This window comes from Homo sapiens, chromosome 10, assembly GCF_000001405.40.
Source record: "Homo sapiens chromosome 10, GRCh38.p14 Primary Assembly".
NCBI lineage: Eukaryota > Metazoa > Chordata > Mammalia > Primates > Hominidae > Homo > Homo sapiens.
In genome coordinates, this window is record NC_000010.11 from 62,638,483 (window position 1) to 62,661,377 (window position 22,895).

The following is a 22,895-nucleotide window of genomic DNA, read 5'->3' on the forward strand; positions in this document are numbered from 1 at the left end:
CCCAAATTGTCTTTTCCACACTGAAGCAGCTTGCAGGGGCCTGAATATTTATCCAGTTAAACAAAATGTACTTTCCTTCCACCCTCTAGCTCAGCAGATTTTGCCCCTTCTCTCTCTGAGGCCTGGTTCTTCCCCAGAATCCAGCATCATTAAGGTCCCTTATCCTTAAAGAAAAGAGTTAGGTCAGCGAATTCACTCCAAGATATTGGCAACTCACTATGTCCGCTAATTACATTTAAAGGAGAGAGAAGTACTTTACCCAAAGTAATGACTCTCTGATGGTGAAGTTTCTGGTCTTACCACGGGAGCCGGTGAGACTTTCCAGTGCCTCTCAAGTCTTACTACATTGGTGACCATCGATGATGTCTGACCCTCATGCCAGGGTCATAGCTCATTCCCTGATAAGGGTCTGGTTGCTTTCATCAGGATTATCAAGTTGCTTTTATGCAGTGCATTTTTTGTACAGCTTTTTTTCAGAAGCACTTGGTAGATAAATTAAATCCCAAGGGTCCTTGCCCCTTGCCCAAAGATCCTTAGCATACGCCTCTCCATCCAGAACTCCTTTGACAGAGAGGATCCAGGTTGAGGAGGGGTGAGGAGGTTTCCACCATGTGAGCTCTTAGGTGTGCCAGTCTTGAAGACTTAAATCATATGGTAATCCTACAACAGATACATGAAGCTCCTCATTCATTAATTTATTCGAGTATCACTTATTAAGCTTCCACTCTGTGCCAGCCATTGCTCCAGAGAGTCACCAAAGAACCAGACTGACAAAGTTTCTGCTCTGATGGAGCTGAAAGCTGGAAATTGGTTTAAACTATTTCTGTCTGTCTCCAGAAAGCAGAACTGGGACAAATGGGTAGGAGCCCCAGGGAAGCAGATTTCTGCTCTATACAATATATTATTACAACCAAATATGGAATGGTAATGAGCTCCCTGTCACTGGAGGGATCTGAGAAGAAGCTGCATGATGACTTCATGCATGGAGCTGGGCTGGATCTATTGTCTTTAACCATTTCTTCTAGCAGCAGGAATCTTTTCTTAAACAAAACCTTACCGGAAGTCCCAATACATAAAACAGAGTGCTGAAGTGATATGTACAGATCTGGCGTCACCCCCAACCTACTCACAGCCCCCCATCACCCCCTGCAACATATTCCTCTGTTCACCAAACCTTGGATATCCACAAACAACTGGATGCGATGATCATGAAGCTCCCAGCCTCCCCCACTGTCATGGGCATCTGTGAGTCTAAGTAGGATGGTGGATGATTTCTCACCACCATCTTCCCCTCTCTCTCTCTCTCTCTCTCCATTTCCACCTTTTCCTAGGAGAGAGTCTGATGAAGCCAGTAAAAAGGGTCAAAGGCTCTGGGAGCATAGTGGGACAATGAATGCTGTCTGAGAATGTCAATATGACCAAAGACATTGTTCCACTTGGGTGGACCTGAAAATCATAATGGGGCTCCAAAAAGAGCCCATTGCCTGGGATCCTGAACCGTAAGTTAAAGTTAAAGGTCGGGTCTGGCACGGTGGCTCACGCCTGTAATCCTAGCACTTTGGGAGGCCGAGGCAGGTGGATCTTGAGGTCAGGAGTTTGAGATCAGCCTGGCCAATATGGTGAAACCCCATCTCTACTAAAAAATACAAAAATTAGCTGGGCGTGGTGCAGTGCACCTGTAGTCCCAGCTACTTGGGAGGCTGAGGCAGGAGAATCGTTTGAACCCGGGAGGTGGAGGTTGCAGTGAGAGCCGAGATCAGGCCACTGACTCCAGCCTGGGTGACAGAGCAAGACTCCATTTCAAAAAAAGAAAAAAAAAAAGGTCAAAAAGGCCAAAAGGACCTTGGAAGGAGAGGACAAAAAACCAGAGAGAGAAGACACTTACAGGCAGCTCATTGAAACAAACAAACAAAGACTTCATTCGCACTATCCTCAGGAAAAGTTCCTGTGTATTCAGTACCTTCTAACATAAAGCTTACTTTCTAGTAATAGACCCTACTTAAACCCTTCCAGATGTAAGAGCTGATAGTAAGGGATTGCACATCATTCTCCAATCTGGAGCAGGAAGTTGGAGAAGCTGTCTGCCTTCAGGCTGTGTGCCTGGAAAGTCCCATCCCCATTTTGCACAGTGTGGGTGGAAAGGGAAGCCTTCAGCAGCTCAGAGGACCCTGGCTGGCAGCCACTCACTGACTTGGGACTGGTGATGGAGTGTGGGAGAGGGGAATCTGACAACTTGAAAAAGAGCCTGAAGTCTTCCTAAGCATAGAACTACCACACAGAGCCTCAAGCCTGCCCAATCACAACCTTGCCATCATCTCAGCTAGCATTTTCCTGACAGTTTCTGAAAAAATAATCAAAACTGGACTCACATCTTCTAGCCTCATAGCTAGAAGTGAGTAAGTCAGCTGAGCTTTGCTTAAACTCATGGTTTTCCAAGGTGTGTAACATACACAAAACAATTTGGCAGGGAGACATTAGTAGGTGCTACTCAATACATTTCTGAAGAGTAGCACTTAGGGAAACTCTGGTCTAAACAAAACTAAGCATGTTACTGTAGGGCTTTTCAGAGCCTTGAAAATGCTAATGTGAATTGTGACTCTCCAAGAAAGGAATACAGTCATATTTGTGAATTCTGCCTCTTGGATTCAACTAACCTTGGAAAAGAAAACCTCACAAAGTCACAAAAGCAAAACTTGAATTTGCTGTGAACCAAGTACTGCATAGAATCCTTGCAAATAAATTGGTGTGTAGGCATTGTATTAGGTATTATAAGCAATCTAGAGATGATTTAAAGTATATGAGAGAGGATGTGCATAGATTGAATGCAAATACTATGCCATTTTATATAAGGGACTTGAGCATTCTCAGGTTTTGGTATCTGCAGGGGACAGAGGGGTCCTGGAACCAGTCCTCCGTGGCTACCAAGAGATGACTGCATAGTATTCAGTATTTCCTAAGTTTATTTGAACTCTGAATGCTTTTTTTCACAGGGCAACTTAAAGTACTTCTTTTTCCTGAAACACAATTTGGAAAATACTGTCACAAAGCAAACATTAACCACATTATATAATTTTAGAGATTTATTTTTCATTAAGGTAAGCCAGTATTTCCAAAATACCGCAATGTCTTATCCACCATCTCGAGAGGTAAGACTTCATGTGGATGAACAGTCTGCATCACTGAGGCTTCGAACACCAAAACAATTAAACCATTCAACCTAAAAATCTTTCTAAAGTGTATTATACACATCTCTATTTTAATTGTTAAAAATAAAATTAAATATTTTTGAGTATAAAAGTAAATATATGCTTATTTTTCAAAGCTTAAAAAAATTGCAGAAGACTAAATAAGGCAAAAGCCCATAGTTCTGTTAACATTTATTGTAATTTATCTCATCTTATTTTGCATAAAATATTAATATATAAAATAACTGTCACAATTCACTTAATATTTTCTGTGTCATTAAACAGTCTTTGAAAATGTATCTTTTAATGGCTCTATGATAGTCTATAATGGAAATGCATTACATTTCATTTAATCACTTTTATTATGTTTTTATTATGAATAAGGATTAATATCTATTTATAGAAATCTTTGCCTCTATTTTGATTTTGTTTGAATGGAGGTACCTATAAGCAAAATCATATATATTATAAAATTGCCTTTCAGAGGATTTGTACCATCTATACACCCCCAGCATTCTCTAAGAATAATATTTTACCATCCTTACCAACATTAAATACTGTTATTTTTTAAAAATCTGTGTTAATTTGGTAAGTTAAAACTGCTATCTTATAACTGTTTGCACTTTTCATTACCAGTGAGTTTAAACATTTATAAATACTAATTTGACACTGATATTTTTCCTTCTATAATACATATCATACGACCATTTTCTCTCATGGCCTTAATATTTTACTCATTGACTTGGGTGAACTTTGTTAAGGTTATTGGATATCATGTTTGTGACAAATAATTTTCACAGCTTGCTGTTTACCTTTTAATTGGGTTCATGATTTTTAATATGTAAATCTTAACTTCTATTTATACACAAATATGGCTTTTTTCTTTATTTCTTCTTTTGCTTTTGTGCTTAGAAAATTATTTCCCTTTCAGAAGTCAGATGAATATTCACTAAATTTCCTCGATGTTTTATGGTTTTATTTTTAAAATCCTTTTTTAAAAAATATGGTGTGGTGCTTACTTTTTAAACTGAATAAAACGTTATCTTAATGACTCAGGATCACAATTTCGAATAGTGTTTAAAGTTTTGTAGCATTAAATAGAATGCTCCCAGGAGCCACTGAAGTGGATAGGGATACTTTTCCCCATTCTCTGTGATGTCAGACTTCTGTGATTCGTTAACTGGGTGGCTCGTTTTTGGTTTTGATCACTGTTTTTGACGTTAGGCTTCCAGCTCTCATTTCCCATTGCAGACAATCATCTGCCACTCACAGGGCTTCCTACTTTCAACAGCTCAAACACCAACTAGCCAAATTTGTGCTACTGTGCACAAGGTATATGTATAGTTGAGCCTGGGTGGGGAAGGCAGAAGAATAGCCCCCCCACCCCCCACCAAAGATGTTCATGTCCCAATCCCCAGACTCTCTGAATGCGTTTTGTTACATTTCAAGGGGAAATTAAGGTTACAGATGGAATTGAGGTCACAGATGTAATTAAAGTTGTTCATCAACTGCCCTAGATGTGGAGATTATTCCAGATTTCTAGGCAGGCCCAATATAATCACAAGGGTCCTTACAAGTGAAAGAGAAAAACAAGAGAGTCAATGTCAGAGCGATTTGACATGAGAAAGACTCGGGCAGCCATTGCTGTCTTTGAAGATGGAAGCCATCCATCTCTGGGAGGGGCTGCAGCCCAGGAATGGGGATAGCTGTTAGAAGCTGGAAAAGGTAAAACATTAGATTCTCCACACTAACACCTCCAGAAAGAAATGTAGCCTTGCTGATACCTTGGAGACTCATTTTAAACTTCTATTCTCCAAAACAGTGAGATAATAAATGTGTGTTGTTTTAAACTACTGAGTTCATGGTGATTTGTTACAGCAGCAAAAGGAAACTGACACACTGGGCCTAGAAGTCTGTTCAATAGAGAAAACTGCATGGCTTTTGTGCATGGCCTTGGTAACTGCTATTTTGTCTGCTCTGAGGTTTTGTTTCCTCCACCCCCCAGTTATTTCCATGGTTGCTGGAAATCTAACTTACATCTAGAGCAGAGCCTAAGCAGGACATTATTTTACAGGAATTGGCCCCTACAAGTCAAGTTGCAAACCCTGGGTCAAAGGGTGAAGTAGAAGGAAGCTGGAAACACATAGTATTTTAGAAGTTTTTCAGAGAAATCACAAGGCAGGAACTTCTGCTCAGTTTGGAAGAAAGAGCATTCCATCATGACCCTTGGACTGGGTGAGAGCATCATCCTTTAATTAATGTCTGCGCTGGGTCAGATAACCATCACTGTCTCCAGGTAAATTCCCTTCTGTCTCTAAATGAATGGGTAGTTCAAGGGCATGAGTCGCAAAGGATCCTCTCAGTGGAAAGAGTCTTCTGAGAGTAGGGTTGAGGGGGTTCAATGCTGATATGGATTTTGTGACACCAAAAGCCTTGGAGCCAGACCAAGCAGTAGAGCATGAGCTATTCCCATAAAAACTGGAGTAGTTCTTAAGAATAGTATGCAAATAATAAGAAAAGATCAGGAAGGGAGGTGCTAGCACTGGGCAGAGGGAACCTGCCTCCAAAATGCATCTGGACACTTGCCCAGTGGCTTGAGAGGAACCTGCACTTAGATAATTTTTGGTAGATGTTGGAGGGGAGTCTGAAGAGTGTGAGTTACTTATCTCTTTCTCTAATGCCTAACACGGTGCCTGGCATACAGTAAGTACTCAATCGATTCTTGTTATGAAAATGAACAAATGAATAAATTTAGCAACCCTTTGTCATCTTTAAAGCCCACTATGAGCTTAGTAACACAAATCACGCCTTAGTAAAAGTTTCCAACCCTAGCAGATAAGATTAACTTATACAGCCCTGGTTCAAGTTAACTTAGAAAACAAAAGGAGCAATGAGGAAGTATTTTATTAATGTATTAGAATTCTTTTGTTCCAAGGGAGGAAGAAACTGGCTATCTCTGAGTTTTAAGATTTGGGGTGATATTTGAGGAAGAAAAGCAAAGTAGTTAAAGATAAACAGAGAATAATAATTATAATCTTAATGCCATAATTTAATATGTAGTTTTAATAATTGAGTGTATGTATGGCATTTACAGAGCAGTGCCTGGTATAAACACACTCAATACATGGTGACTATCATTGTTATTCTTCAACATTTTTAATTGCTCTTCAATGATCAAAAAATAAAACTTGGCCGGGGGTGGTGGCTCATGCCTGTAGTCTCAGCACTTTGGGAGGCCAAGGTGGGCAGATCACCTGAGGTCAGGTGTTTGAGACAAGTCTGGCCAACATGGCAAAACCACATCTCTACTAAAAATATAAAAATTAGCCAGCATGGTGACGGACACCTGTAATCCTCATTACTTGGGAGACTGAGGCTGGAAAATCGCTTGAACCCAGGACACGGAGGTTGCAGTGAGCCAAGATCATGCCATTGCACTCCAGCCTGGGTGACAAGAGTGAAACTCCATCTCAAAAGTAAATAAACAAATAAATAAAATAAACAAAACTCAGAAAAATAATAACATAAAGTCATCATTTATGACAAGACCAAAGAATACATGGGTTTGTTAATTTATGAGAAAGGAAAGTAACTAATGGATGATGACAAGACTGACTCTTTATAGGTTTACAGTAGCATATACAAGACACACCGTTATGAAAATAAGAGCATAGATTTAAATATGTTTTCTTGGTGATGTTCATTACTTAAAGGATTACATAGTGAATCCTCTACTAAAGCAAAGAATAATCCTTCAAGGTGATATTAATGCTATAATTTTTGAATATGCTGATTTTTATACATAAAGCCTCATGCAAATAGGATATCTTAAGATAAACGAGCCAAGTGAGGGGTTCCATTCAGGGTCTAGAAACATAAGAACAAATATAACAAGGTCACATAGAGATCAGATATATTGAGTAGTGTTGATTAAGCCATCTCCTTAAGAGAATAAAATTTACTCTCAAAGTACTGGCTGGAGCATTTAGAGATTCATGGGGAACTGACAATCATTTTAGACCCATTTGCAGAGGACGACCCATTTGCAGTCATCAGGGAAGTGATGGGATGGATGGGTGTGGTTCTAAGGTTTCCAGTGTAGACTGGCTAAACCTCTACATGGAATATGAGTGACTGTGTAGTCTTTTCCTTTCTTGTTTATTAAAGAAACTTGGTAAATGTACAACTTTAAGACCAGCGCCTTCTTCCCTACAACCCACCCTCCAAGGTGCCTAGTATGCTGACAATCTGAACCCTTGTTCTTGACAGAAATGAAATGTCAAGACCCAAGTGATGCCATATGAGGCCCAAATTGGTTTTACGATTGACTGATGTGATCCATTTTTCAGCTCACATTTGTAGAAACCTACCAAGAAGACAGTAGATTCTTTTGTTTCTCAAGAAAGAAAAAAGAAAAGAAAAGAATAAAAGACTTTTGAGCCCTTAGAAAAGAACATATGGGCACAGGGAGGGGAACATCACACACCAGAGCCTGTCGTGGGGTTGGGGGCTAGGGGAGGGATAGCATTAGGAGAAATACCTAATGTAGATGACAGGTTGATGGGTGCAGCAAACCACCATGGCACGTGTATACCTATGTAACAAACCTGCACGCTCTGCACATGTATCCCAGAACTTAAAGTATAATAAAAAAAAATTTTTTAAACTGAATAAGATTTGAAACTCAAAACAATTGCTTATATAGAAAAAAAGAAAAGAAGTTGCTAATCCCTGGCATCTAGTATAGATTGGGTTCACTGACAAAGAATTATTACACTCATACACACTTTGTTTTTGATGGGGCTTCTAGAATGTTTAGAGAAAAGAAAAGCACAGACACTGTGCACCTTGATTTTGGCAAAGCATTTGACAAGGTTTATCACAGCGTCCTCATAGAAACTGTGGACTGGAGCATAGTACAGCTGATAGACTGTTCTTTGAATGGCCAAAGAACATGAGTCTGTGGGCTGACCAGCAGGAAGCCTCTCATATGAATGCTTCAGGACAACTTGACCTTGTCCTGCTGCAATCATTTTATCAAACATTCAGATGAAGCCTGGATTAGATTACCCAGCAGACTCACCACCACTGGGAAGAGTGATAATTTATAATCTCAGTTGCAATAAGGAGACAAGAACAAAAGATCCCCAGGGTGCATTAGTAGTTTAGACCCTACAGAGCCTACAAGTCCAAACCTGGCTGTACATCAGAAACACCTGAGACTCTGTTAGAAAACACAGATACTCAGGCCTTACCCTAGACTTACTCAACTAGAATTTCAGGAGGTAAAGCCCTGGCATTTGTATTTTTTAAATAAACTACTCAGGTGATCCACAGGTAATCAGCTCCATACCCTACTTGCAGAACCATTGTCCTAGTGGGATTTAGCAAAGAAGCTTTTCCAAGGTAATAATGATATGTTACCCAGTAGTATCATAGGTTTTCAAATTATGAAAAAATCCCTCCCTATACTCTGGCTCCATCCAACCTTGACTCTTCCTGATGGGGGTGGGCAAGGCAGGGTAGAGAAGGAGCACAGGGCTTTGATCAAGCATGCATAGGCTTTGATGTTAATCAAACTAGGACTTGAGCCTGGGTTCTGCAGCCTACCACCTGTGCAAGGGGGCTCTGTGCTTGCATTTCCTAAACTTAAAATGTGGGGATTTAATGAGATCACACAGGTAAAGGGTTTGCCTCGCACATAGGTGGCCAGTTGACACCAGCTATTACTATTAATAGGCTGTTCAGTCAACTCCCCATTCTGTGGATCTCAGGTCCATAGTATTAGCAGAACACACCTACCCAGAGAAGGAAAGAAACTATTATCTATAGGATATGAGCTATGTCCTGGCCACTAGGCCCCCCACAGATCTAATCTTATTTCCTTTAATTGTCACCCAAACCCTCAATTTTACAAATGAGGAAGCTAAGCCTCAGAGAGGTCAAATGACTTCCCCCGAGTCACCCAGCTATAAAGGGACAGATATACACCAAGAATTTGGCTAATAAACTTATGCTAAGGATTCCCCATGGCACTTTTTAAGTGGTTAATATATGGAGTGGAGAAAGCTTTGCCCTTTAAAAAAATCTAAAAAGAGACATTTTGAAACTGCGAGGGAGGGGAGAAGTCACACCACCTACACTCCCTGTTACCTGAACACTCAGCAGTTAGCCGAGGAAAAGCCCAAAGGGCAGCCATTGCATGCTGGTGCCCTCTCTTGCTATCTCATCACACACACACACACACACACACATACACACACACACACACACACACACTTCCCTGACCACCTTATTTAAAATTATAACTCCCCATGACACGCTTATTTCTTGGCCCTGCTTTCATTTTCTTCTTACAATCTCATCGCTGTCTCGCATTCTATCATTGTGGTTATTTATCTTGTTTACTGTGACTCCCCCCCCTCTAGAATGTTAGCTCCTTGAGGGAAAGAACAGAAAAGATGTTTGTTTATCTTATTTTCTCCTACATGCATACATCTGAAATAGCCTGGCACACCTTGGCATTCAATAAATATTTATGGCAGCAATGAATGGATGAACGAATAGAAAACATCTCAAAGGGTGTCAATCATAAATGATGAAAGTCATTAAATTTATTTAGATAGCTGCATGTTCTGTTTTTTTTATTATAAATATGTATTCTTTGCATCACAATAGTTTTTAAAATGGAACCTCAATTGTCCAGGTTATTACTGACTTGAAGCCAAATCAAATCAAAGGGCAAACAGCAACGGGCAATGACAGGACTAAGTTGATCTTCCAGAAGGCAAGTGTGCCGGGTACATTGCATAGGCCCCTCCAGATTCCCTCTCTGCCCTTTCTTACTATGCTTTGTGCCCTAGGACACCCATCTCTTTGAGCTGCATCAACAAGCTCCCTTGGCCTTTGGCTTCCAGTTGGGAAAAGAATGAGGTTGGGCTGTTTATTCCCCAGCTCTCACCTTTACTACTGGGTCCTGCAGATTGGCTGTGTCCCTATGGAAGGCCCCAGTGCCTGTCTGTCTGCCACCTTCTCTGCACTCCTGCTCTTTCAGGTTCTATAACAGCCCCCGTGCTTGTCTGTCTGGGCCTCAGGCAGTAACAGCTCTCCATTTTTGCACAACCTGGAGTACTTCACTCCCTTTGCTGGTCTTCCAAACTCTGCCCACACCTTTTAAAGTGTCTCTTTATTAAATTTCCCTCAGTGACCCAGTTGAGGATGTCACTAGTTTCTTTTTAGGTCTCTGGCTGTGCCAGTGTGGAAAGGAGAAATGTGTTTAAAGTTGGAAGACCTGCATTCTAATACCAGTTTCATGACTGACATTCTCAAGGCCAACCAGCTCTCTGGACTCAGTTTCTTCATCTGGAAACTAGGAAAATTGGGCAAGGCAACCTCTAATATCTTGTGATTTTTAAGAAGCCCTTTGCTCAGAGAACAAAGTAGTTACTTCCCCATTGGCCAGAAAGTATTAACTTGATCTAGATCCTGAAAAGGGCCCAGTCTTCCAGGAACTTACCACAGGGGCTGCTGCTGTACCACACACAATAAAGCGGAGCTTGCCTATATTAAAGCTGGCAAAACCCAGCTCAATCTTTGCCCTCACTTCAGCTGCAAATCAGTAAGTTCCTGGAAAATTGAAGTTATATTTTTAAAACTATTATAAAACAAATACATATTTATAATAGAAAAATCAGAACATGCAGCTATTTAAAGAGAGAATAATTACTTTCAACATTTATGTTTGATACCTTTCTAGACTTTTTCTATTCATTCATTCATTCCACAAGTATTTATTGAATGCTGATGCTTTATGTAATAGCATTTAGGTTTAGAATCAGTGTACTTCTGGTTGTATGAAGGATAGTTGTATTACGTTAGGTGTAATTATGACATTATTATTGTCTTTATTTGGAGATTAGTATGATTTCAGGAGATGTGTATGGGTGCCAAGTTGAAAAGGTGTGAACTTGTGATGGTTGATATTAGGTGTCAACTTGATTGACTGAAGGATGCCTAGATGACTGGTAAAGTGTTGTTTCTGGGTGTGTCTGTGAGGGTGTTGCCAGAGGAGACTAACATTTGAGTTGGTGGACTGGAAAAAGAAGACCCACCCTCATTGTGGGCGGGCACCATCCAACTGGCTGCCAGCGTGGCTAGAACAAAGCAGGTGGAAGAAGGTGGGATCACCTTGCTTGCCAAACCTTCTAGCTTCCTTCTTTTTCCAGTGCTGGATGCTCCCTTCTGCTCCTCCTACCCTTGGACATCAGACTCCATTTAGCCTTTGAACTCTGGGACTTGCACTAGTGGTTTGCCAGGAGGGGCTCTGGCCTTCAGCCACAGACTGAAGGCTGCACTGTCAGCTCCCCTGGTTCAGGCTCTTGGACTCGGACTGAGCCGCTACCGGCTTCTTTCATCTCCAGCTTGCAGACGGCCCATCATGGGGCTTTGCCTTGTAATTATGTGAGCCAATTCTTCCTAATAAACTCCCTTTTATATAAACACGTATCCTATTGGTTCTGTCCCTCTGGAGAACCCTGACTAATGGTAAGTATTTGTTGTTGCCAAACCAGAACCCTGGATGCCATCTCAATTCTCCACTTTGGTCAAGTATATTAAAAATATCTGAAGAATTATGTAATCTTTGCTCCTGCGTGTGCAGTTTGGACACAGGATACCTAAGTTCCTGGAAGGGTAAATTTTTTTTCAGTCTGTTAGGAACAAATCTAACCTTTCTGCCATTGACTTAGTTTCTCTGCCTTAGACATGGGCTCCAGCTTCTGGTGAGGAGGCTTTCCCTATTGCCAAACCAAAATGTCAACAATCAAAACAGATGGGAAATAAGGAGACCTTCCTGGGAAGTGGCTGTTGTTTAGCCAAGAAATATTGAAGCTTTTAGAGTAGTGTCTTTGAAAGTCAGAGCAGATTCAAGGCAGTGAATGCCTTCATCTGGCAAGACTGGAAGAATGGATCTGCCCAGGCAGACACAGTGACTGTTGTAGTGGTTACTCACACAGTTGTGGCAGGTCACGGCTGTCTGACTCTTCCTCCCGCTTCATCTCTTCCCATTCTCAAACCTGTGATGGAGGATTTTGTTTTGTTTTGAAAAAATACTACATCAGTGTTAATGCTCTCAGAGCACTAAATATCAGCAAGAAATGGATTTCTCCATTTTACAGACACTCTATTTTGAAAAATATTGAAGATCTAGTCTTACCTTCAAGAGACCAGTAAAGAGCCAGAATGGCCCCCTAAGATGAAATTACAATGATCACCTTGACTACCCAAGGCCTCCTTAGAAGGCCAAGGAACAGAAAGAGAGGGAGAGAGGAAGACCCCAGGAGAAGTGCAGTCCAAGGAGTCCTGCAAAGCAGACTGTGTGGACTGAAAGGCAACTTGCCCTATTTTGCACCGGACTCATCTGCAAAACGGGATGATGGTATCTTCCCCATAGGGCTTCTGTGAGTATTAAATGAGTTAATACATACAAAGTGCTTATGACAAGGCCTGGCACATAACAAACTGTCAATAAATGCCAGCTATTATCCTCCTCTCCTACTCCTCTTCCTCCTCTTCTACATCTTCCTCCTTCTCTTTGTCTTCACTCAAAGAACTTTCCTGGTCTGTCCTTAGGAATTCCATCTTTGTTCTGGTAATCAATGGAGCCTGTACACCCTTTCACATATTACAAGATATATTGATGGTGTTTTCACAGTAACTATTTTAGAGATATTTGCAAAATTATACTTGACCCTGAAAATAGCTTTGATTGGCAATGATGCCATCTCAGACATTCCCCTGTGCCAAATACTGCCACTGAGCAGAGAGCACAACATGGATCACGGTCAATTTGGTGACTCAAACGACAATTTAGGTTCTTACTATCATTCATCCCACAAATATTTATTGAATGCCTACCATGTTCCAAGCCATAGCAGGAACACCAGGATGAATCAGACAATGATTTTGTCTTAAAAGAAATTTTCATCCAAGGGCAAAGAAAAATCAGGTAGATATTTTAAAAATATAGACAGAAAGTGATATGGGGCACAAGAAAAACACACCTAGAAAGCTGTGCACCTCAGGTGACAAGAGAGAATGGTTTCTGCTGAGAACTCAAAAATAGAGACTGCAGTTCATACAAATGCAGATCACCGATGCCACCATCAGTAGTGAATTTTCTCAAGACAGTTACCTCGAACCCAGGTATTTGGTCTTTGTCTAGGGGTTTTCATTCACCAGAACTGTCATGCAGGCCAAGTTTGCCATGCTTTCTGCCTTTATATCAGCAGCTCCTCTCCCCCGCCCCCACCACAACCTTCACACACATTGCAGCAAGGCATCCAGTCCTGGATCGCAACTCATGCTCCTTAACATTCCTACCTCAGTCAAAATGTCCCATCATAGAGCCATTGTTCTACAGGGACCCCAGGTGGAAGTGGGCCAGTCTTCAAAGGAGAGATCACCAACAACATGTGCATAATATATTTGACATATGGGACCTCTGAAGTTATGTGGGTATTCATTCAGCCTATGTTTAAAGCTGTAGCCCAAAGCATTATAGACACTGAGTCAATGGTGATAACAAATCCAATAGGTTTTCACTAGCTCGATCACAACAAAACCTCAATAACTGGCTGGCAACTGCAAAGGTTAATGTGGCTACAGTTTAGTCATCCCATTGTAATCTCTGTGAACGGCACAGGCTGAAATTGTGCTGAATGCAGTTTGCTCACCAAAACTGGGAGGCCCTGCCTGAGAAAGCCATGGAGTTTGACAGCTGAACTTGGGCAAAAGAATAAATATTTTTAGATAAAACATATCACAAAGGAATAATGGTATTTGTTTCATGTTTTAAGCATGCCAATTGCAAAGATACATGCATGTGGCTTTGTAGATGTCTTTCTGAGTTGCATTTGTATCTTTGTCAATACAATATCATCTTACCTTGATACACCACTACATGTCTTGGCTATATGACATCAGTGTCTTGCACAATGGTATTGTGGAAAGGTCAATACTGTGCCAACCCACCTACAGCCTCTTCTGAGGGTACCCATCCTGCCCACACTTTCTGCTGAAGGGACAGGCCCAGGAAGCCATACTCAGTACCCAGTGCCCCACTTCCTCTATCCATAGATGATTGGCCCTGGCAGGGCACCTGAGCCAATGGCAGACAACCCATATGCTGAAGAGAGAGGTGCAGACTACTTTGAAAGATGGACTGGACCAATCAGATTCTCTCCTAGGGCCCTGAACTTGAAACAAACAAATAACCATCAGTTAGTACAGGGAGCAGAAGAAGACATGGCATTTGTTGCTTAAACATAGAAATCAAACATCCATGAACTCCTACTGTGGAAGACCTGGGAGCTTCCTTGAATCTAGAAGCATCTTCGAGTTCTGGATTCCTTAAGGCCAGGGTCTGATATGGCTCCTGCTCTTGGATTTACCATTTAAAAATAATGTAATGTAATGCAATATGTGAAATCCCTTTGTCTTGAGTTGGCTTGAATAGATTTCTGTTTCTTGCAACAAAAAATAAAAGCCAGATTAAAATCAGTGGGATATTAACACCTGGTCCCAACTGATCTCCTGGGCCATAAGGCCATCTGGAGAAATCACAAGAAGCAAGACAAACTGGCAATGTCTTAGCCATTACTGGGAAGGCAATAGAAACCAAAAAAAGAAAAAAGGGAACTGAAAACCTTTAAAGACGATTTGGAAAGTTTGTGTGCATGCACCTCCCTGTTGAGTGTGCAGTGACTTGTAGAGCCAGCACCGTGAACAGAGAAGATGGCCTGAGTTGTCGCTCATGAACGAAACCTAGCATTTGAATGCTCACACTTAAAATAGGCTATGAATGACTGCCGGTTATGAGACATGCTAGATGCACAGGAATCACAAGTGATCGAAGCCAATTCACAAGAAAAATCAGGATGATATTATTTGAAGCAGCCTCAAAAGCAGGTGCTAGGTTTAGGGTGTGTCTACATGGCCCTGGTTTTTATTTCCACTCAGCTTTGGAAACTAAATGACACTGCTGTCTATTTAAAACTGTGTCTTATATATGTTCATACAGAGTGTGTCTAAATAAAACATAATTTACAAACATCTCCACAATGGTAGCATTTCATGGCCAAAGATATTGCATGGCTTGGAGTTAAATACAATTTGGCCTCCATCTGTTCCAGTTGATTTAGAAATTGAATTATCATCACATTTGATCCCAGAAGACATCTTACAAGTTTAAAAACTCAAATTTGTAAATAGGAGGTTTCATGACTTAAATGGAATTTCCTGTGCCTCTGTTATGTAAATTACATCTTCTTGCTATAGGGAAGCAGTATGCTGAAGTGGGTAAGATATGGATGTTGGAGATAGTTGGGCTTGAGTTCAAATCCAGGCTCTGTGATTTATTAGTCATGTGGCCTTGAGAAAGTTACCCCTGCAGTTTCTTTATTTTTAAAGCTAGGATGATGATGATAATAGCACATACATTTCAGGATGTTGTAAAGATTAAATGGGTTAATAAACATACATGCTTAGAACAGTGCCTGGCTCATAGAAATACTCTACAAACGCTTGCCACTGTTATTGGTAATTCTTTCACTGAACGCACAGTCATTAAGCCAGTTCTTACTGAGTCCGTATGAGTACTGTGCTGGGTGTGCCCTTTTGTAATCCTGTTGAAAAAGCACAGCTCACAAGGAGAATAGGAATTCTCATTCTAAATTTATGGTTGCAGAAATGAAGCTTAGAAAGGAAGTTAACTAACTCTTTACAGCCTGCCTGGTTACTAAATCTCAGGGCTAGGATTAATAAATTCATTCATTTGCGCGTTCAACAATTTTTTTTTTTTCAAGACAGAGTCTCACTCTTGTCACCCAGACTGGAGTGCAGTGGCATGATCTTGGCTCACTGCAACCTCCACCTCCCGGGTTCAAGGAATTCTCCTGCCTCAGCCTCCTGAGTAGCTGGGATTACAGGCATGTGCCCGGCTAATTTTTGTATTTTTAGTAGAGACGTGGTTTCACCATGTTTGCCAGGCTGGTCTCAAATGCCTGACCTCAGGTGATCCGCCCACCTCGGCCTCCCAAAGTGCCGGGATTACAGGCGTGAGCCACTGCGCATGGATCAACATGTTGTTATTGAGCACTAGCTACTTATTATTCTAGGTGCTGGAATACAGAGAGGAACCAAACAGATAAAAATCCTTGCCTGCACGGAGCTTACCTTCAGCTAAGGGAGACAGTCAAAAACAAGGTAAGTCAGTATTATGCATAGGAGATTGTAAGGTGGAGTGCGCTAACAAGAAAACTAAGCTGGAAGGGGAGTGAGAATGTGTATGTGTGCATGTTGAGGGAGGTGGAGTTGACAATGCAATTGTTGCTAGAACAGATAACTAGGGAAGGTCTCACTCAGAAGAGGACATTTGAGGAAAGGCATGAGAGGAGTGGAAGCAAGCCATGGGAGTATCTGGGGGAAAGGTTTCAGGCAGCAGAAAGAGCACATGCAAAGGCCCTGAGGCAGGAGTGTGCCTTGCATATTCCAGGGACAGTAAAAAGCCAGTGTGCTGAGGCAGAAAAAGCAGAGAAAACAATGGGAGATGAGATTAAAGAGGTAAGGGATTGGCTGACATTGGTACTTACTGAAGAAAACCCCTCCCTATGTTCCTGTTAACTGGGGTTCTTCCACAAAGTCAACACATCTAAAGAAGCCACTGATGAAACAGGCTCCCCCTTGGAAAGACCATCTCACCTTCCAACCTCTCCATCCTGCAGAGAGGAAAACCCAAGTTTGGCGTTGGCAGTCAGGTAATTCATCAGATCTGGAAACCACCTCATCAGCATCCCCCTGGCCAACTGGAAGCAACCGTGACGTTGTGCTGAATACACTTGCAGAGTCGTGCTGTGGTCTCTCCGAGCTCATCACGGCACCTCCCTATGCAGGAGTTTCAATTCAAGGTCATTTTTGGTTCCTTTCAGTAGCAGACTCAGAACCAGACCTATTCAAGTGTCAGAACAGGGCAGACATATTAATAGCTAGACCCCAGTGGGAGTTCTATTTTCCATTTCCTCCTCCCCCATATTTATTTGTTTCTTCCTCTCCTCTGTGTGGTAAAGGTGATCTTGCATGATATTTTCAGATGAGGCTTAAAAAGGTGGAGTGGAGGATGGGAAGATGACACCCTGAATTGGAGCTCACTCTTTCTCAATCCCTCAGGCTGGAGTTGGGCTCCCTGGGTTCAAATCCCCATTCTATCACTTAGAAGCTGTGTGACCTCAGTCAGGATACTCAGCCTCTCTGAGCCTCAGTTTAAAATTTTGAATTGAGGCCAGGTACATTGGTTCATGCCTGTAATCCCAGCACTTTGGGAGGCCAAAGTGGGCAGATCACTTAAGGTCAGGAGTTCAGGATCAGCCTGACCAACATGGTGAAACCCCTTCTCTACTAAAAATACAAAAATTAGCTGGGTGTGGTGGCGCATACCTGTAGTCTCAGCTACTTGAGAGGCTGAGGTAGGAGAATCACTTGAACACAGTAGGCCGAGGTTGCAGTGAGCTGAGATTGCACCACTGCACTCCAGCCTGCGTGACAGAGCAGGATTCCATCTCAAAAATAAAATAAAATAAAGTAAAAATATAAAATTTTTAATTGGGGATGATGATGACATCTTCCTCAAAGACTTATCATGAGAATTCAATGTGGTCATTTAATTCTGTTTCAGGATTTAGCCAAATTTGGGTGCTATTTCCCTTTTGTGGAGGGACTTTTCATCACAATGAGAAGGACGTCTTAGGACTCCAGGACTTTGAGAGGTGGGTGTCCAAAACATGTGGTTGTCTCTGCATTTCCACTCAAAGCAGAATCCAGGTATTTTCCAGGTGCTTCCCTCTTTCTGCTGAAAGTTCACTTCATCTCCATCTGGGTGGTCCCAGCCTCCCAGGCTGGTAAGCCTCTTGAATTCTTAAGAGGAGACAGAGAGGTGGGCCCTCTGTGGTCTAGGGGAGAAGTGGCCCACTGCCTCAAATGGGAAACATGTTCTAACTGTATTTATTCCCTTGCCTGGGGCAAAAGCTGAAATTTTCTGGTCTCATGCAGGGAATTAAGGAAAATGTTTGTAAATTCTTTGGGAGAAACATGAAAACAACAAGCAAATATCCTTTCTAGAGAAGGAGATTTTTAGCACGTGAATTTGCAGATTATACACTTCTTCCTTCACTGTAGCTTATCTTTTGGGAAAAGGGCACCCAGAATTTGGTGAATGTTGTCTAATGGCCACAACTTATTAACCCTATGTGTTCCTGTAGACAGGGAAAAAAATTACTACACAGTTATGTCAGAAAGCCTCCCATGACAGGGATAGAGCAAACAGTCAATATTACTCCTGGCAATAAACCAATGAATAAATAATACATCAGGAATAGCTACAGCATTTCATAGAAACAGCCAAAGAAATTATCTTAAGATCATTGTAATTAGAAAAACATTCCCATGAAATGTGTCTGTAACTCAGTGATTTAAATGAATAGAATAATGTTTTCCTACTGGCTCAGATTACTACTTTAGACACAATTTATCGTGGTGTCTGATGAAGCTCCAATGGCAGGAGCCCTTCAGATTATGATTTTAAATTGTTCTGGCCTATTGATGGTGGCAGCAGCCCATCTGGAGCAGCCGCTGGGGGGATGCCAGCTGCAGCAGGGGAGGCGCAACCAGGGCTGCGTGCTCTGTGGAGCCACCCGGGGCCAGGAACACGTGGGAGTCCAGGTCCCCACCAAGTTGGTGGGGAGGGAGCCCTGCGCTCTCGGGTGCCCCTGCAGTGACCAGCCGCAGCTCTGGACCCAGGCATCCCTCTGCCCTTGGGGCCAGGAAGCCCCCCTTGCCCCTGCAGGCTAGGAAATGTCTGCTCCTGCTCCCTGGCCTCTCCCCACTCCCGGCGCCGGCTCTGATTTTGGAGCAAAGTTGTGTCCAAGCCCGTGCACTGTCACAACCTGGCCAAGGGTGCGGGTGCTCAGGGCAGCACTGACATGCCAGACCCGCAGCCCACCCCCTACCTCGGCCTCCTCCGGACTTTGGGCACCAACAGTGCCAGAGGGAGGCTGGGGGCGCTGAAGATGGCTCAGCGCAGGCCTGCACCCCTTGGCACAAACAGCCAAGGCGCCATGGACGGCATGTTGATGGTGAGAGGCAGGCAGGTTCCTGGCCAGAAAGGGGCAGGTCTCTAGTGAAACTCCACCTTCAAGCCAAGGACAGCCTGAATCCTGGGGACCAGGCTGCCAGTTCCGGGTGGAGTCCAAAGCCCAGAGTGAGAACTTATGGTGCTTTTTCCAGGCTTGCCCATGGCTGAGCATGAACCAATCAGCACACACTTCCCTGCTTCTGAGCCCATTAAAACGCTGGACTCAGCCAGACTCAGACAGAAGTCAGGACTAACAGCTGTGGGAAGGAGCTACCCACTTCCGGTATCCTTGACTCTTCAGGATTACCTGCCTGCAGGTACGAGCTACCCACCATGGGTCTCCTCTCCACTGAGAGCTGGACACTTGCCAGGACGACCTGTCTGTGGAAAGGAGTTACCCACTTTGTGTCTCCTGAGAGCTCCTCTGTTACTCAGTGAAGCTCCTCTCCACCTTGCTCGCCCTCCAGTTGTCCAGGCATTCCATTCTTCCTGGACGCAAGACAAAAACTTGGGACCTGCCAAATGGTGGGGCTGAAGGAGCTATAATACAAACAGGGGTAAAACACAAACCCCGCTCTCCATAATGAGAGAAGAGCTGTGACCCTTCAAGGAGTTCAGACCTGGGGGCTCCCCAGGCCAGCGTTGTGACACCTTCTTTAGGGCTCTGTGGTTCCTGGTGTCTCCAAGCTTCTGGGCACCACTGCGTTTCTCAGTGCCCACAATGGAAGCCGCTTGTAGTACGCCTGGTCCACCATCAGCCACGGACAGAGCCAGCACCTGGAGCTGGCCTCCCCACTGCAGCCAGCATGCCTGGCTGTGTGCAGTGGCCAGAAACCCTTCACACTCACACATCCCTCGCCACTCTGCACATGGCTCACCCTTGACAGGCATGGAATCTGGCCAGTAGCTAGAGCTGAATGCAGCCTGCTGGGTCAAGTGGGTGGAATGAGCCCAGCGGTCCCGAGGAAAACTTGGGCAAAGGTTCCACTGGCCACAGAGGTTTCCAGCTGGCAGAGTGACACCCTAAAGATCCTGTGACATTTTCCGGGACACTATCATGACCACAGACTCAGCATCAAACAGTTAAATGACCTTCACAGAAACCCATGAGATGAACTTAAAGAAAAGTCATATGAGGGATTCCTGCAGGTAAAAAGCCTGCCACAATGTAGATAACCACCTCTGCCTTATCACATTGGAAAATTATGGCTGAGCTATGCCAGGATTTTGTGAAGGCTGAGGCAGAAGACAAAAGAGCCTGGCTTAAAGATGTATAGACCCACCAATTCCACTCCTATTTCTAAACCCAAAGACATGTCCACCAAAAGACATACGTAAGTATGTCCATAATTGCCCAAACTTGAATCAACTGAATGTCCAGCAATAGTCAAATGGGGAAATTAAACATTCAATGAAGGACAACTCATCAACTCAATAATTTTTTTAAAAAACCAATTGCTACACACAGCAACTTGAATTAATCTCAAAACACGTTGAGCCAAAGAAGCCAGCCACCAAAATATATGCACTGTGTGATTCCACTGACATAAGATTTTGAGGCAGACAAAACTAATCCACAGAGAAGGAGATCAGAGTAGTGGTTACCTTATCTAGTGTGCAGGTAGGGGTTATGGAATTAGAAAGACACGAAATAGCCTACTGGATGCTGGACTGTTCTATATCTTGATTGGAATAATGATTCCATGGGTGTGTATGTATCAAAAACTCACCATCTGCACACTTAATATTTGTACGGTTTACTCTGTGCAAATTATGTCTCAATTTAAAAATGAAAAAGTAGGAAACAAAAAATTAATATAGAGGTAAACAGGATGTATGGTTTTCTGGGTGGCTTTTGTAAGACTCAAACTAAAGAACTGTGGCTCCTTTTTAAGGAGAAAATCTGAATCCCATACAGATAGACTTGTCCCAGGGTGACACCGTGTTTGTTCATCATAAACCGGCACTACTGAGACTTGTGCCGGGCAGTGGGCTGGCTGGTGGCAACACAATGGGAAAATGGGACTGTCGTGGACTCACTCTATAGGGGAAGCAACACTTCAGAAAGAAACAACACACACAATTCTATCACTTCGAAATGTGATAGAGACTATAAGAAGAAAAATATACAAGACATACACGAGGTCTTTTACAAGAAAGAACAAGAGGGAAGCCTACTTTTGTTTGGGAACTCAGGAAAGTCTCTGAAGAAATCACATTTGAATAAAGATGTGAAGGTTGGGTAGGAGTCAGCCAGCAGAATTAAGTGTAATGGAAAAACATGGAAGTGGAAGCATGTGTGTGTGTGTGCGTGTGTCTGTGTGTGAGTGAGACAGAGAGAGAGGAGCATGAGTAAAGGTCTTGAGCTGACTGCCCCAAGGAGCTGGGAGAATCCTAGTGTAAATAAAAGTTACTGAGTGGGAGGGTAGGAGGGAGAGAAGGCTAAGGGAGGAAGGTAGACAGGGGCCAAGCTATAGAGCACTTTCCGGGCCGTGATTAGGGTTTAGATGAATGCCAAGTATAATGGAAAGGGTCAGAGGGTTAAGTAAGATCTGATTTACATTTAAAAGAGATCACTGGCTTCCAAGAAGAGAATAAAGTAAAAAGAGATCAGAACAGTCAGAAGAACCAGATAAGACTATTGAAGTAATCCAGGAAGGAGAAGGCAACTTGAACTAAGATGGTGGCAATGGAAATGGAGAAAGGTGGATGGAAATAAGCTAGCTTTTCGAAACAAACTTACCACCTCTTCTGATAACCTAATCTCTCTTCTAAAACTAGTTATTAACTCTAACCTGTGCTCTCTCTCTCTCCCCCCCATCCTACTGAAACACATATGCACACACACAGCAGACCCTCACCCTCTCAGCCACTAGATCCCAACTGTGATGAGAAAGCAACAGCAATGATGCCCATGCAGGGCCTTGCTAGCAATTCCAAGGCATTATTTAGTTCAAGGAAAGGAAATCAGGAGTAAATGCTAACATTCATTCAGGGTCACCTATGTGCCAAGCATTGGGTTAGATATTTTCACATTTGTTGTCTTGGATATCAAATTGGATATTATTATCCTCACTTTAATAGGTGAGGAAATTGCAGCGTGAAGAGGTTAAATAATTATTTTATTGCAGCCTCATAGCTATTTTAAATGGCAGAAGTAGATTGATTTCAGAGCCATCTGATTCCAGACACCACATTCTTTCTACTACACTCTGCAAATGATTCTTTTATCAAAGGTGTATGGCTTTTTAATAACAAGACACCAAGAAGAGTAATCCACAGGGATGGCTTATTAATGGTGACATTTTAGATTTTCAAACACCTGGTCAAAGGCAGATACCTTTGAAGAGCAGTCTTCAGACGCTCTGGGACACAGCCCCTTAGGCAACCTCGTACTCTAGTCCACCTGTGATTAACTACAAGTCCACCTCCATGCACAGGTGCCCTGGATGCCAGTGATATCTGAGAACAACCACTAAAGGTCAAAGGTGGCTACACAACCTCAAAAAGTGGTGACATCAGAGCTG

General features: G+C 42.7%; 1 protein-coding gene and 1 long non-coding RNA gene across 5 annotated transcripts in view, besides 12 other annotated features; one reads left to right on the top strand and one right to left on the bottom strand.

The window, feature by feature from the left end:
* The window catches only part of LOC105378327 (uncharacterized), a 31,382-nt gene extending 14,279 nt beyond the window's left edge, over positions 1–17,103 (bottom strand). Inside the window, exon 1 of the long non-coding RNA XR_946002.3 lies at positions 16,944–17,103. This is a non-coding gene — a long non-coding RNA (uncharacterized LOC105378327). The remainder of the gene's footprint in view (positions 1–16,943) is intronic.
* Positions 2,101–2,170: an enhancer, noted in NCBI's record as "active region_3422". NCBI's record gives its function as "activates an Ori minimal core promoter by ATAC-STARR-seq in GM12878 lymphoblastoid cells {active_cell/tissue: GM12878}" and the evidence as "EXISTENCE:reporter gene assay evidence [ECO:0000049][PMID:35858748]".
* The window catches only part of LOC124902436 (talanin), a 28,368-nt gene continuing 10,633 nt past the window's right edge, over positions 5,161–22,895 (top strand). Inside the window, exons 1-5 of one of the 4 annotated variants that reach the window (XM_047426119.1) lie at positions 12,254–12,643; positions 16,361–16,448; positions 16,885–16,999; positions 17,914–18,004; positions 19,521–20,189. In XM_047426119.1, the coding sequence (XP_047282075.1) occupies positions 12,450–12,643; positions 16,361–16,448; positions 16,885–16,999; positions 17,914–18,004; positions 19,521–19,536 (504 nt within the window). In that variant the 5' untranslated portion in view covers positions 12,254–12,449 and the 3' untranslated portion in view covers positions 19,537–20,189. Of the gene's footprint in view, positions 5,482–12,253; positions 12,644–16,360; positions 16,449–16,884; positions 17,150–17,913; positions 18,005–19,520; positions 20,190–22,895 lie in introns of those variants that run through there. The other 3 variants (XM_047426120.1, XM_047426118.1, XM_047426121.1) reach the window with 3 other exon arrangements.
* Positions 6,379–6,548: an enhancer, noted in NCBI's record as "experimental_13669 CRE fragment used in MPRA reporter constructs". NCBI's record gives its function as "activates a minimal promoter by MPRAs in K562 erythroleukemia cells, with activity observed for both the introgressed and non-introgressed 10:64404706 variant alleles {active_cell/tissue: K562}" and the evidence as "EXISTENCE:reporter gene assay evidence [ECO:0000049][PMID:34662402]".
* Positions 9,518–9,687: an enhancer, noted in NCBI's record as "experimental_13680 CRE fragment used in MPRA reporter constructs". NCBI's record gives its function as "activates a minimal promoter by MPRAs in K562 erythroleukemia cells, with activity observed for both the introgressed and non-introgressed 10:64407845 variant alleles {active_cell/tissue: K562}" and the evidence as "EXISTENCE:reporter gene assay evidence [ECO:0000049][PMID:34662402]".
* Positions 14,129–14,178: an enhancer, noted in NCBI's record as "active region_3423". NCBI's record gives its function as "activates an Ori minimal core promoter by ATAC-STARR-seq in GM12878 lymphoblastoid cells {active_cell/tissue: GM12878}" and the evidence as "EXISTENCE:reporter gene assay evidence [ECO:0000049][PMID:35858748]".
* Positions 14,379–14,428: a silencer, noted in NCBI's record as "silent region_2398". NCBI's record gives its function as "represses an Ori minimal core promoter by ATAC-STARR-seq in GM12878 lymphoblastoid cells {active_cell/tissue: GM12878}" and the evidence as "EXISTENCE:reporter gene assay evidence [ECO:0000049][PMID:35858748]".
* Positions 14,729–14,978: an enhancer, noted in NCBI's record as "active region_3424". NCBI's record gives its function as "activates an Ori minimal core promoter by ATAC-STARR-seq in GM12878 lymphoblastoid cells {active_cell/tissue: GM12878}" and the evidence as "EXISTENCE:reporter gene assay evidence [ECO:0000049][PMID:35858748]".
* Positions 16,597–17,796: an enhancer, noted in NCBI's record as "BRD4-independent group 4 enhancer chr10:64414839-64416038 (GRCh37/hg19 assembly coordinates)". NCBI's record gives its function as "activates an origin of replication core promoter dependent on BRD2, P300/CBP, MED14 and CDK7 cofactors, and independent of BRD4, by STARR-seq in HCT116 cells {active_cell/tissue: HCT116}" and the evidence as "EXISTENCE:reporter gene assay evidence [ECO:0000049][PMID:35650434]".
* Positions 16,857–17,026: an enhancer, noted in NCBI's record as "experimental_13694 CRE fragment used in MPRA reporter constructs". NCBI's record gives its function as "activates a minimal promoter by MPRAs in K562 erythroleukemia cells, with activity observed for both the introgressed and non-introgressed 10:64415184 variant alleles {active_cell/tissue: K562}" and the evidence as "EXISTENCE:reporter gene assay evidence [ECO:0000049][PMID:34662402]".
* Positions 16,874–17,103: an enhancer, noted in NCBI's record as "active region_3425". NCBI's record gives its function as "activates an Ori minimal core promoter by ATAC-STARR-seq in GM12878 lymphoblastoid cells {active_cell/tissue: GM12878}" and the evidence as "EXISTENCE:reporter gene assay evidence [ECO:0000049][PMID:35858748]".
* Positions 17,344–17,393: an enhancer, noted in NCBI's record as "active region_3426". NCBI's record gives its function as "activates an Ori minimal core promoter by ATAC-STARR-seq in GM12878 lymphoblastoid cells {active_cell/tissue: GM12878}" and the evidence as "EXISTENCE:reporter gene assay evidence [ECO:0000049][PMID:35858748]".
* Positions 17,444–17,523: an enhancer, noted in NCBI's record as "active region_3427". NCBI's record gives its function as "activates an Ori minimal core promoter by ATAC-STARR-seq in GM12878 lymphoblastoid cells {active_cell/tissue: GM12878}" and the evidence as "EXISTENCE:reporter gene assay evidence [ECO:0000049][PMID:35858748]".
* Positions 20,619–20,788: an enhancer, noted in NCBI's record as "experimental_13703 CRE fragment used in MPRA reporter constructs". NCBI's record gives its function as "activates a minimal promoter by MPRAs in K562 erythroleukemia cells, with activity observed for both the introgressed and non-introgressed 10:64418946 variant alleles {active_cell/tissue: K562}" and the evidence as "EXISTENCE:reporter gene assay evidence [ECO:0000049][PMID:34662402]".